This window comes from Homo sapiens, chromosome 1 (assembly GCF_000001405.40).
Source record: "Homo sapiens chromosome 1, GRCh38.p14 Primary Assembly".
Taxonomy (NCBI): domain Eukaryota; kingdom Metazoa; phylum Chordata; class Mammalia; order Primates; family Hominidae; genus Homo; species Homo sapiens.
The window spans coordinates 208,079,500-208,093,128 of NC_000001.11; the positions used below are offsets into that span (position 1 = coordinate 208,079,500).

Here is a 13,629-nt window from a genome sequence, read left to right on the forward strand (position 1 = left end):
AATGCACCCTCCTCTTGCAGGTGTGATAGAAATGATAGAAACTCTTCCCCACCATGGATAACACCACCAATCATCATTATCATTGCAAGAATGACTGAGGAATTAGTAAATTGAGCCTCTTACCAGTCACTTAAGGGCACTAGGAAGAATAATATTATTTAAGAATTCTGGCTCTAGATTGAATCAGATTAGGGCTTTAATTGTGGCCTCACTACTTCCTAGCAATGTGAGAGAGGATTCCACCTCCTTGAACCTCACTTACCTAATCTCTAACATGAAGATAATCGTTGTTTTTTTTTGTGAGGTTGGAATAAGATAATGTATATTAAGTGCTTAGCACAGTGCCTGTAACATATCTGATGCCCTATATATGTTTATTATGTTTTCTTTGAACTCGTGCTATATTCTTATGCTGCCATCTCTCTTATTCTCCACTCTCACATATGGTCCTCATGCAGGAGGTAAGGGCTGCTTTCCTCCATTGAAGGAAAAATGAGGCTCAGGGAGAGATAATGACTCTTAGAGCTTAGTAAAATTAGTGACCCAAACTGGAATCTTCAAACTCCAACTTGCTTTGCTGCTTAATGGTAGGTCCTGAGAAGTGAGGACTGTTGTCTGGCAAACTGGAAATTGCATGGGTTTGAGACGGGAGTCAGCTTGGGGTTAAAGAAAGGCCAGGTGGCTAGCAGTGAGGGAAGCATTGCTGATTAAAAAAAAGGGGGTGACACAGTCTGTTCCCAGCCCTTATGAATGGAGAATATGTCCCCAGAGAGGGCAAACTGGCTATTTAAATAGTAACATTTGGAGTGTGCAAACCCTTTGTCTTTTTTTTTGTCTCCTGCTGACTTAAAAGTGCTAGTATAACCAGCGAATTAGTGAACTGTGCTTCAGGTTCAGGAACCTGGTCTTAGCTCCTTGCCTGCTGAGATTTTGAGTTACAAGTAGAATTCTCCAAAAGCAAAACACGTAAAAGTCATTTTTCCACTCTTTTGGTCAAGCACATGTAAGCTTTCAGGACCAGGTGGTATGCCGTTGCTGAAAGTGAGACACATGCCCCAGGGAAAGGGTAATTTTAAAATTCTTCCCATAGGTCCTCATCCTGTTCCTCTGCTATGTCCAGCATCCTTTAGTCCCAGCTGCAGGGCCTATATTTAAATACCCTCATGCTTATCGCTTTGTAAGGTAGAGGGCAGGAAATGGGAATCTTAAAATGAATGAGTACACACTGAGCATCTATAAATATGTACCACATGGTTCATACCCATGAGCTCATTTGATCCTCACGGTGACCCTGAGAAGTGGGCATCCTTCCCTCCACTTCACAGATAAGGAGACTGGATGTAAAGGGGAACAGTCATTCATCTGAGTTCACACAGCTGTAAGTGAAAGAGCCAGCAGGTGAACCCCACTTTGCTGGATTCTAGAACCTGAGTCTTTAAATGGTGTGGTCCTCTCCACCCAGCCCAATGCGCAGCCGGCAGAGACACTCAGGCTAGTGGGTGGAGGTGATACGAATGTGAAGACAACGCTGTCTGTGCACTCTCAGAGCTTCTTCAACATTGCAAGAGTCACAAGTAGAGTTTCCGATGCAACAGCTCGGATGTGGCTGCTCTCTAAGCTCCAGGTGCTAAGGCAACCTCTGGGATCTAAGCCCAGATCCCCAGCAGGGTAATTGTCTCCTATGTTTTAGCAGTGAGAAAGTTTGGCCTGGGTATGAGGAGAAATAGAAAAAAATAATCCTCCTGGCTCCGTTCCTTTCTCCCAGTCTAAGTAGCCTTGATTTTAATGGCAGCATTTGGGACAGGGAGCTACAGCCCTAAAGATGCTGAAAAACTTGCAGCCCCTGCTATGGCCTTGCCCCCTACCCCATCTCCATTGGCTGATCCGTCAGGTGGAAGCAGAGGCTTGTGACAACCCTAGCTACTTGAAGTGTGGCAAGGCTTGTGGCTGAGGGTAGGAGGAGTGTGGGGGATAGGAATATATTCCAGGGGGGAAGGAGTTTAAATCCTACAGTGGCCTAAGTAGTAGATCCTCACAGTGATGTGGCTCAGTTTGCGAGCTCTGAAATTAGACTGTCTTGGTTCCAATCCCAGCTCTTACTATCTGACTCGTGGCCCATTTCTTAATCTCTTTGGGTCTCAGTTTCCTCATCTAGAAAATGAGAATAATAATAGTACATACCTCTCAGAGTTATTGTGATGCTTAAGGAAAATAATCTCTAATAAATTACTTAGTGAGTGTCTACCCATCACGAGTCCTCATCATATTGGAGTCACTTTTATCATTCTCGAGAGCAGGGTGGAATCTTGGCATTTGCTGCACTGAGGGTCGGGCCTAACTGGCACATGGGAGGAGCTCGACATGAGTTTATAGGACGATGAATAAGGGTCACCCTCATGGAGCACCCCTCCTTCTTCAGCCAGATCCCCTTCCTGAATTCTTTGCTCCCGATGTGAGCTGGACTCTGCATGCTGCTCTCTCCCGCCCACCTCAGGAACTGGAGAGCAGCCTTAAAAACCCTCTTTGTGCAGTGATTGTGACCAGGGCCAAGGACAGGGGAACAAGAGCCTGACTGGAAACAATATCTCCATTTCCAGGGAAACTAGCCGGACGTTCCTGCCTGCTGTTCTCCTAGGTCAGGTTCCACAGACACTTCAAAGCCTGCAGGAGCCAAAGAATAACGTGGATGGGCCGGCGGCCGCCCAGCGGATGCTCTGGTTGTAATAAAACAGGGCTCCCAACAGGACTCCTTTGATGACTCCAAATGTTGCTTTAGGATCCTCTGAAGAGTTCCGCCGACAGAGGGAGTGTATTATTCATGGCACAGCGGCTGGCTGGCTCTGATCCCTCTAGCCCCAGTCTTTCCCGGGGTCGTGAAAAGATCAAACTTCTACCCGGAAGTAGCCGCTTACCTTTCAGGTCCTGAGGGTTGTCAATGATGAAATTGCCGTTCCACACCACAGCGAAATCCACGGCCAGATTGCTGATGTCCATGCCATCATACTGGTACTATAGGGAGACGGGCAGAGGCATGGGGCTCATGTGGCTCTCTATCACAGGGGTCAGGGATGCAGACAAACCCTGCATGCTGCTCAGATTATTATGACGCTCTTTCCCTGAATCCCAGTCACTAATGCCAAGAGAATCCCACCCAAGCCTCCTAGCTTGGCATTCAGTGCCCTGCATAATCGGATGCAAACTGACTCCTCCAGCTTTCTCCTCCACTGCTCTCCCGTGGAAAGCTTTGAATCTACCTTTCTCCAAACACATCTTCTTAAGCCCCTCTCTGTCTTTGTTGAGTTCCTATCTCATAAGGAATGCAACCGTCTCCCTACAACCTCCATCCTTTTAACCCACCCGTATTCTTCTAGCCCAGCTCAGCTCTACTTTCCCCAGGAGTCCTCTCCCACAACCCTGCAGATCTGCCTCAAACTGTCCATCCCCTGGTGTTGCCACTTTCTGTCTTGCACTGGCACTTTCCAGGATCTGCTGTGCCTCTTTTCACGTGTCTCCCTAAAAAGTCCATGTGTCTCCAGAGGCAGAGCTAATGCCCTCTTACTACTCTTGTAAGGCCGAGAGTCTCATCGAGCAGTCACCTGGCCAACCCCTGCGGTGGCCCTCTATTTCCGCACGAGCCTTACTTTAGCCAATGGTCCACTAGGGAGAAGTGCCCACAGCTTTCCGGACACAGACCTCATCAGCCCACAGCTTTCCGGGCACAGATCTCATCAGCCCTATCGTTAAAGTCCTCTAGCTGTGGCCAGGAGTCTATGACTTTCTCTCTTGTGCTGATCCCACAGAAGACATTTAGCCCCTTCACACTTCAGAAATAACACCCCTGGGTGGCCAGTCCTGGCACCCTGTGATGGAGACCTCGGGGCATCTTCCCGACCCCCCACTCTTCAGCTCTGAAGGGCATGTCACTGTCAGCCTTCTGCTCCCGCCCTCCCCTGCCCACTGCCTCCCTTTGTTGTGTCCCTTTTCTTTCTCATCCTGCCTTCCCCTTGCGCTTGGCGGCCTTCCACCGATTACAAATTCTATCTATCAAGCGCCTGTGACCTGGGAATCTGACAGCTCCCTGATAAGAGGCCCAGATTCCCTTTATCTCTCCCAGGCGAATTAGCTTCCCTCAACACCTTTGTCACATCCTCCCCTCCCTCATCTCCAGCTGACCCCCCACAGTCAGAGACAGGGAGCTGGCAGATAAAAAGATCTTCTTGGGGTTAGTATTATAATTAAACACCTCATGCTCTCTGTCTGCCATTCTGGATTGGTTTAACCCTTGCTGCTCCTGAAATTCACTGCTTCCTCCTACCCCTCCCCTCCCACCTCCCCTCCTCCCATCTCACTTCCTGTCCCTCTCTTCTCCAGCTTTTGCCTGTGGAGCACCCTCCTGGTTATTCACTCCCTGAATGGGGATGTGGAATGGGGTGTAGGGTGGAGTTGACTCGCTCTGGTTCAAGTTTCACTGAAGACAAAGAGGTGCTCTTTCAACTTCAGAAAGGTCCATGATGTGATTATTTGACATTGCACGCCTGTATCAAAACATCTCATGTAGCCCATAAATACATACACCTACTGTGTTCTCACAAAAATTAAAAATAAAAAAATTTAAAATTTAAAAAATCAACTTCAGAAAGGGCACAAAGATCTCAGTGTCTGCCATGAGGGTCCTCACGGAACTGTCTCCTCTGGCACCAGTCACCTGCCCTGCTCTGGCTGAGCGGCTGGGGTGCTGGCTGGCTCCTGCATCCCTGGGGATGTGGGCTCAGCCTGTGAACCTGGAAGGCTCCGGAAGCCAGGGCTGGCCATACTGAGGCCCCAGCACGAGTGTGAGAGGAAGCCCTGCTCCAGGCAGGGCCCAGCCTGCGTTTTCTTACCGAGCTGTTCTGACACTGAACGCTGGAGCTGTTGAAGCGCAGAGCGGGGACCCGGTGGATGGCTCCTTGTATGTTGAGGACACACTCATAGCCTCGCTGGCCGGACTGCGGCTGGGGCAGATTTCGCGCCTTAAGGGTGATTGGCTTTACCTCCCCGACTGGAATCAAGATCTCCTCTGTGGGCACCAGCTGGGGACAGTCCTGGGGGAACAAACGAAGAGGCTCCATCTGTCCCCTGTTCATGCTGTCCTATGTGCCTGGGACAGGCAGGCCCCTCTTGTATCAGGTGAGCTGCCCAAGAGCAGGATATTACCTCATGTAAGGCCCGTGGAATGGGCAGGGAAAATGGAATCGCTCTTAGCTCCTGGGCTTTGATATTGTCATCCCCGTCCCACAAGTTGTCCTGTATCTGCTGTGTGTGTTACAATTCAGGAATTAATTTTCAAGCACAGTGTGGCAAGCTGTGGATTTTATCTCCTGAGACACTGGATAAAAGAGCCTCCACGTGTCCCTGTCCCCAACCTGGCACCCCTACCTCTGGGTTTCATCTTGTTCCCCAGCTCCAGATACTCGGCCCCTTGCATTGTCTGATGCCGATGCCTGGGGCATCCGTTATCAGCAGCTTCAGCTTCCCAGCCCCGACTGAGCTAGGCTTTCCAGAAGGTGGATCAAGCCCTCCCAGCAATACTCTAAACACTTGCTCTGTTTTTTTTTTTTTTTAATCTCATTTCATTACCAGGCCCTGCGTGAATGCCATGTTGCTTTGGAAAACAAAACCAAAAAAGAAAGTCTTGGTAGGGAGGGGCTTTGGGAAGGACCATGAGAGAGAGACAGTGAGAAAGACAGATTGATTTATGGAGCTCCATGACTAGATGCTGATTTTCCACCAGAGGTCAAAGGGCCACCCCACTGTGCCAATCTCCTCTTTCTCCTTCTCTCCTCGGGCAGATGAGCCTGGTAGCCCCTGGCAGTGATGATGTGGGAACCACCTCCACAGGGAATCACTAGGGGAATTCTCATAGGAGGCTCCCCTTTCTCTGTCCCCTTCTCCTGGGCAGTGGTTCTTAGGGGGAACTTCTGGGAATGTCTGGGGGCTGATGCTGCTACAGGGCCTGCAGAGGGTGTTACTGGCATTGATGCCAGGGGCCAGGATTGCTGGATTTCCTACAAGGTGTAGGACATGTTCAATGACAAAAATATTGTCCTCCTAATGGCAAATGCAATAATTAAGAAGCCTTGTGCAATGCCGGCACAGCCTCACACAGGGAATCTCCTGTGGCCACCTCTTGTCATGGTGTGGCTCGGGCTGTTGCCTCTTTTCTCTGGGCCCCACTTGCAAGCCGTTCAGCATCTGGCCCTTGCCTACCTCCCTCTGAACTCTGTGGTTCTTGCACATAATAGTCCAGCCATACTGAATGTATGGTTAACTCTGAGATGCCCTCTCCCTTACAGGATCTGCCTCTGGCCCTTTGAACATGCTTTTCCGTCTATTAGAAACACACACTCCTGCCTGTCTTCCTCCTGCTGCTGCCCTGCTTCAGCCCCTCTTTTAGTTGATTACCTCTTCTTTTACTTTTTTGGTTTTTTTAAATCATCACCTTCTCTGAGAATTAATAATTGATTACCTCTTAATCAGCCTTCAAACTCAGCCCAGTTTCTTCTCTGCAAGGCCGTCCCTGCCCCTGCCCCTGCACTGGCTTCAGGATGAGTTATGAATATTCACCCATGATTGCTTTTGACACACAGAATTACAATTTCTTGATTTGCTTTCCTCACTGGGCTGTGAGCTTCTTGAGGATTAGGCTGCATCTTACTCACCTCCATCTCCCCAGTCTTTCTGCCAGTGCTTGACATGTAACGGACATGTCAAGCATGTCATTGCTTGTGGGAGGGTAAATAGAAAATAAAATAAAGCAACCTGTGAAAAAATCTTTTTTTTTTTAGCTCCAACTTTGTAGATTCTTTAGAGATGAGGTAAAGCCTGCCTTCTGGGCTTGAAGAGACTTGAGAAGGCATTTGGTTCTCAAAAGCTGGAGTTGGAAATAGTCATGGGTTTTGGAGTCACATGATTTCTAAAGTGGCATGTCCACATTTACTAAGGATAATTTACTACTGACAATTTCTGAAGAGCCGGATCTGGGGGAAATTCTGCACAGAAACCCACCTAAGAGGGTCTGGACACACCGGCAGGCTCACCAGTGTCATCCCTTGTCAGCTGGCCACCTGCATGTGAGGACTCCAGGCAGGCACGGCATCCACGAGAGAGAATCACAAGGCAACCCCAGAACAGATGGGTCCCTGTTTAGGAGCCAGTCACTCAAGCTGCCAACTCATAAACTTGCTCTTTACTGCACTTTCACTTTCATTCCCTGCAGGCACTCTTGACAGACTCTTTCATATATTTATAGCCAAAAAAAAAAAAAAAAAAGATGAGCACCACTTTAGGGAAGCCCAGGCATCTCATAGAAAAGGAGATAACACTTCCTGTTAGCAGCTAAAATATCTGCATCAAATCTAATGTTAGAATTTAAGTTAGAAATAAGGCTGGGGTATAATGGTCTCTCTCGCACTCTCTCTCTCTCTCTCTCTCTCTCTCTCTCTGTGTGTGTGTGAGAGAGAGAGAGAGAGAGAGAGAGACAGACAGACAGACAGAGAGACAGAGAGAAAGAGAGAGAGATTTTCTTACTCCGAACCAGCTGATGAATTGTAAATGACGAGCAGTTGTTTTTCATCTCTAATGAGCTTAGACAACAAATTCAAATTTCAGTAGCAGGATCTTAAAGATGTGCTTTTGGAAGTATGATGTCTGGGGTTAGTAAAAAAAGATTGTTGAATCCTTTTAATGTGGACCAAAAAAAGTATACTTTTATATAGATGTTATGTGTAATACCTATATATAACACATATGTTATCTATATGTAACACACACACACACTTTCATCTTTTAGGCTGGGCTAAGTCCAGTCCAGCCTGGAGGTTGGAGAATCATGAGTAGACTTTATGAGTACTATTACATGAGTTTTTTTTTTTTTTAAGGGATTCTAGAATTTTAGGAAATTTCCCATGGTCTGCTGTTTCAGACTTTTTAGAATCAAATGTAAGGGTAACAATTAGGGTCTTCCCAAATGCTGAACCAGGCCCCAAGATTGCCCTAGTAGAAAAAGAATGTCTTATGCTTTGTTTCTTTATTTGGCAATTGCTCTCAGGTCAGACAGAATAGGATTTTTTCCCTTCTATTCTCTAAGGCAAAGGAAAGAAGCGGTTGGTGCCCCAGGTATGCTTTCTTCATCTTGGGAAATGGGAAGATACAGGCCTTTTGGGTTATGAGATGATTCTGGTGAGTATATTCATGAAGGATCTGTGAATCTTGGGTGGAAATTGCAGTGGTAAGGGCTGAAAGTGGGTGGAGGAGACTGGACCCCAAACAATTGCCAAGTTGTTGAAACTTCAATATCTGTGGGGCTTGAGGATGGTGAAGGGTTTAATCAGATACAATAAGGCCACTTCCAACCTGTTTGCTTCTGTGGGTATACACACACACACAGGCACACACATGTGTACATACACATACAGTACCTGTCTTATGAAAAAGAAAGCAAATCATCCTAAGATGCTTTTCCTGCAGAATGTTAAGACTGTTGTTCACATTCTTAAAATACTGATTGCTACCGCGGATCCTCACAGCCTTCTGAGTGATCTCTTTGGGTCATCTTCTTTCTCCTCTGTCTCTAGGCCAACTGGAGCCAGGATCACCTTCTCAGCAGCAATCTTAGTTTAAACCAAGACTTAAACTTGTAGGAATACCCCAGGGGTGGCGGTAGGCTGGGGAAGAGGAAACACAGCTGCAGGGAGAGCAGGGACCTGGTTTAGGAGCCCTATGAGTCTTGGGCTCACATTGCCCACCTGTTCAGCTGTGCTCTGCCAGCGTTCTGTGCTGGGGACCCTTTAGCCCTCTGAAGCGACTTCTCCCATGTGGAAATGGCATTATCTTCACCCACTGGACTTCAAAGAGAGAGCAGCCAGCATCCTGGGAAGCTAATCGGATTTATTTGGTTCTATCTTTCCCCTGGGACAGGGCATAAAGGAGATATTTATGTATCTACATCTCACTAGGCCTGGCTTAGCCATGGAGGGAGATGAGCTTTAAAAGCTGAAAGCCATACATCCTCCCGTGCACACCCGCTTGCTAACACCATGTCACAGCCTGATCTGACTCAGGGAGGAAGAGATTTGGGGGGCCCCCATCAGAGATCTGCTGTGCTCTGAGTGCTGGAAAGGTCTGACTCATTACCTTAAGAGAGCTTGACAAATGGTTTAATTGAAAGTCAGTTTCCTCCTCTATAAAATGGTGCCAATAATATCTGACAAACCTAGATTGCATGAAAGAGGAAAATCAATGTGTGTTGTAAGTGGTAATATGCTGGATTGACAATTGTTAATATTACCGCCTATTTGTGGTGTGTGTGCGTGTGAGTGTGACTGCAGAATCAGTGGACTTTCACTTATTCAAGGTCAGCTTGAAAAATTGTCTCTGAATCCTAATTTCTGCATTTATTTGATGATCATAGGAAAGCTGTTTAACTTATTTAAGCCTCAGTCTATTCATCTATAATATAATCCACTTCATAGAGTACTTAAGGTTAAATTATATATATGCTGCATATATAATAAGTACTAATATTTTTATTTTTGAATTGCATTCGTTCTAGCACAGCTGTTCTTCATTGTCAAGCCTAAGCATGGAATTGGTCCATCTGCCTTCTGGAAAGATGTGGGCAGATTTACCTCATATGCTGGCTGTCTTTTTATCTGGAAATGGCACCACTGACCCATCTTCTATGGGCAGTTTCTCCATCTGTGGAGATGGATTTGTGCTGGCCCATCCATAGCCTGAATCCTCATGACCAATAGCAAAGGACCAGGTTGAAGTCAGGCCAGCAAGTGTGGCTGTGACCATGGAAACAAAGCTCATGGGCCCTGATTTTCTGTAGAAAACATACTGTACTCAGCTTTTTTGGATGCCTGAGTTCTCTGTAGCCTTGGGCAAAAACCCGAAATTTTTAGCATTCTGGTTACTACAGATGTCAAATATAAATTATATGAAATTGCAGGGCTGTTGCAAGAATCCATTGAAATGCCAAATGTCAGTGGTTCTCAATCTTTAGCCTCATCTGGGATGGGGCCCAAGAATTTGAATTTCTATAAGTTCCCAGGTGATGCTGATGCTGCCGGTCCCTGGGCACACTTTGAGAACTCCTGGCACATGTGAAGAAATTATAAATGTGTGATATATTAATGTTGCTATATTAATCAATGGAGCTAATCAGTTATATATTGTTTCTAGGAAGCAGACAGACATAAAATTTTGATTCAAAGTTGGGAAGGGAGGCTTACTGGAATTCTAAAAGAGATATTCTAGGAACCCCTAAAGAGATAGCTAAGGGATTTCCAGTTAGCTGGAAATCCAGGGGATTCTAGTTCCCCAAACTACATGAAACTATCAGCTGGGACGCCTGAGAGAGTAAGGGAAACCTTACCCAAGTTGGGCATGTGCATCTTTGCTGTTCCTCAAATTTTCAGGGATGGGGTTCTCCTAAAGCAGAACTTTGGACAGAAAAGAGGGGGGCCTGGCTGCTGTTTGCTGAAAAGGAACATGTGGCCAGCTGTGGTTAAGAGCCAAAGCAGTATTTTAGGAAGCCCCGGAAGTGGCCCTGGCAACCTCGCTGGGAATCTGCACCCTGTTTCCTTTCCTGAGCAAAGTTGGGAGCTGGATGGAGTCTGGGCTTCCCTCACAGTCCTCCGGACAGCCAATCCCTGGGGCCATGCCAGGGACCAATGCACACGAGCATAAGAGAGCAGCCGTACACCATTCCTACTCAGGGCAATGGGGAGATGAAGGGAGACAAAGGGGACTGCTCTTCTCTAACCCTAAGCCACAGACATCAAGGACAGAAAATGAAACAAAAAGGAGGTGGGGAGTCTCTGAGTTTGCCCCTAGGTCCCTTTTGGTATTAATTTAATCCCGAGTTGCAGGGAGGCAACAGCTTCTCTTGGCCCAGCTCCGGAATGTTGAATCTCTCATCCATGGCTGAGAGGGAGCTGTATTTCAGTGACTTCCGAATGGTGTGAGGAAGGCCGGGCCTGCTTCCAATTAGCCTGCAGGGGCTCAGCTCTCTGGCCTCCACACACACCCCAGCAGAGTTTATTTATCTTGCTTTGAGTGACACTCGCATGCCCTTGCTTCAGCTGCAGGTCGCTTTCAGGCTTGGCTTTGGGTTTCTCTTGGCCTGAGGTGGGTAGCCTCAGGAGAAAGTGGAGCAGCTGCTCTTTGTTGTCTAGATTTGTACTTCATCCAATCTCTCTGTGTCCTGGGGGCCACCTCAATCTATTTTATTAAGGAACTTTCAAAGTGGCCCATGTCAAGGTTAGTTTCTGAGACTGTGTCTCATACTCTCTCACTGCTCAGTCTTCACCCCTGCCCAGGCCTCCCATGGTGGCTCTGCTGTTCCTGGCTAGGTCTGCCCCTCTAAGCGATTCTTTCATTGGCTCCAAGCTGTGGTGCCCACTCCCACCTCTCCCTGCAGCTCTGTGTGAAAGGACTGCCCCCAGAGCAGTTTCATACTGTTGCAGAATTCCAGGGCTGGAGTTAATCTCCAGTGTCCAGGAAGGCTGGTGTAGGGTTTTTAGGCCAGCTGCATCAAAGCATACCAACTGGCTAGAGGAAAATGCTTTTCTGAAAGGTTCTCAGGGCACTAGATGCCTGGTTTCGTCATGCTGAGGCACCCGTAGATGGGTCTGTTTGAAAAGCCACCTGTGGCATCTATGTTTCTCCCTTTCAAGACAGGCAAATTCCATTTTTCTGACTGAACATAACACCTGTTGTTTCATAAACTAAGAAGAGTTCAAAGGGGTATGTGTTTGAGAAACCTTTCAGAGTCTATTTTCTTATGTTTAGCCATGGAAGCAACCAGCACTGCTATCAAGATTAGAAGACACAAGACTCCATTACTTGAAATCTTAGACAAGTTGACACAATTGCCATCAATGGGATTTAAATAGAAAGGTCATTCGTTCATCCATTCTTTCATGCATGCATTCTACAAACATTTGCTAAATAAGACATTGAAGATTTAAAGATAAGATGTAGTCCTTGCCTTCAAGGAGCTTGTAGTCTAGCGCAAGAGGAAGATGTGTATAGAAAGGCTATAGTAGGCCGGGCGGAGTGGCTCACACTTGTAACCCCAACACTTTGGGAGGCCGAGGCGGGTGGATCATGAGGTCAAGAGATCGAGACCATCCTGGCCAACATGGTGAAACCCTGTCTCTACTAAAAATACAAAAATTTGCTGGCATGGTGGCATGCCCCTGTAGTCCCAGCTACTCAGGTGGCTGAGGCAGGAGAATTGCTTGAACCCGGGAGGCAGAGGTTGCAGTGAGCGGAGATCACGCCATTGCACTCCAGCCTGGCGATAGAGCGAGACTTCATATCAAAAAAAAAAAAAAAGACTGTAGTTGTATATAAAAATGCTACATTGTCACTTATTACCATTTTTGGATTTTCTAAAATATAGAGTAAGAAATATGTGTATATGCACACGTGCATTTGGGCAACTATGTAATGTCTCTATAGTTGTTCAAATCCAACTGGCCATGCTGGGGTATGAAAAGCTTTCGACACAAGAAAGGGAGACTGAGCAAGCAGGCTTCACTGTCCTGAGACATGCTATGAATATATAAGAAAGTAGACTTCAGTGAATAACCATTGAATGGAATACCCATTAGAAAGATAAGCAATTTGATATTTCACTGTGTTAATAACAAAGGTGGGTCAGGCTTTAGGGATGGAGTTTCGACTGTATAATAAAACAGGACTTTTAGCAATGCCTGGTTCTTTTCACTAGCTGATTTTTTCTCACTTTCTACAAGGCCACCCACCCAGTTATACATCAGAGTCAAAGAATCATTGAATTTTAGAGTTGGAAGAGAAGTTGGCATGAAAGAATGGTTGCGAGTGAAAGTTCTATTGAACTAGACTATGTCTGCAGCCAAGCAAAGGGCTAGACTCAAAGAATAAATGCCATTCACTACACTCTTCTAGACCAGGGAGTCTGTTTGGTTGAATATGTTTCCTCTAAGCTTTCAGTCTCAACCCCCAGTTACCTTCAAGCTTTTGAATGCATAGAGTCTTAGGAGTCTAGTAGACATAGCCTCTGCCTCTGGGGTCATTTGCTGCTACTTTTTTGAGCTTTATAATAACAGGGCTTTCTAGCATGCAGAATTTCTGGCAAGACGGCCAAGATGGGCCAGGGCAAGAAAATGGCCAAGCCATTGGACTGACCATCTAAAGAGGGAGGGGCCACTCAGACTCACTGGGAACACTGCCATGTTAGGGTAAGCCCTTCTTACCTCTGAAATATTGATCCGGCCCTCCTGGAAGGAGCAGGTGGTGGGGTCATGAGTGCAGAGGTTGCGGTACTTGCACCAATGGCAGCGGAAGGCGCTGTTGACACAGGACAGGCACCTGCAAGGACAGAGATGGTGAGAGGCAAAGAGAAGAGAACAAAGAGGGAAGGTGGCATGTGTCATGATAGAAGTCTGTTAACCTGTGTTTAAATCCTAGTCTCATTCTCAGGAGGGAAGACTGGTGGGCCATCCTCTAGCACCAAGAATTGTGGATTCTCCATCCATGATATTCATGGGAACAGAAAATTGGAAAGAAAATGAGACCAGATAAGAGTATAACTGACAA

At 46.7% G+C, this 13,629-nt stretch overlaps 1 protein-coding gene across 3 annotated transcripts in view; it reads right to left on the bottom strand.

Annotated features, from left to right (window-relative positions):
- The window catches only part of PLXNA2 (plexin A2), a 222,143-nt gene that overhangs the window by 57,258 nt on the left and 151,256 nt on the right, over positions 1-13,629 (bottom strand). For all 3 annotated transcript variants that reach the window (NM_025179.4, XM_005273164.4, XM_005273165.5), the window contains exons 9-11: positions 13,287-13,401; positions 4,881-5,081; positions 2,913-3,009 (exon numbers count right to left, since the gene is read on the bottom strand). In NM_025179.4, the coding sequence (NP_079455.3) occupies positions 2,913-3,009; positions 4,881-5,081; positions 13,287-13,401 (413 nt within the window). The remainder of the gene's footprint in view (positions 1-2,912; positions 3,010-4,880; positions 5,082-13,286; positions 13,402-13,629) is intronic.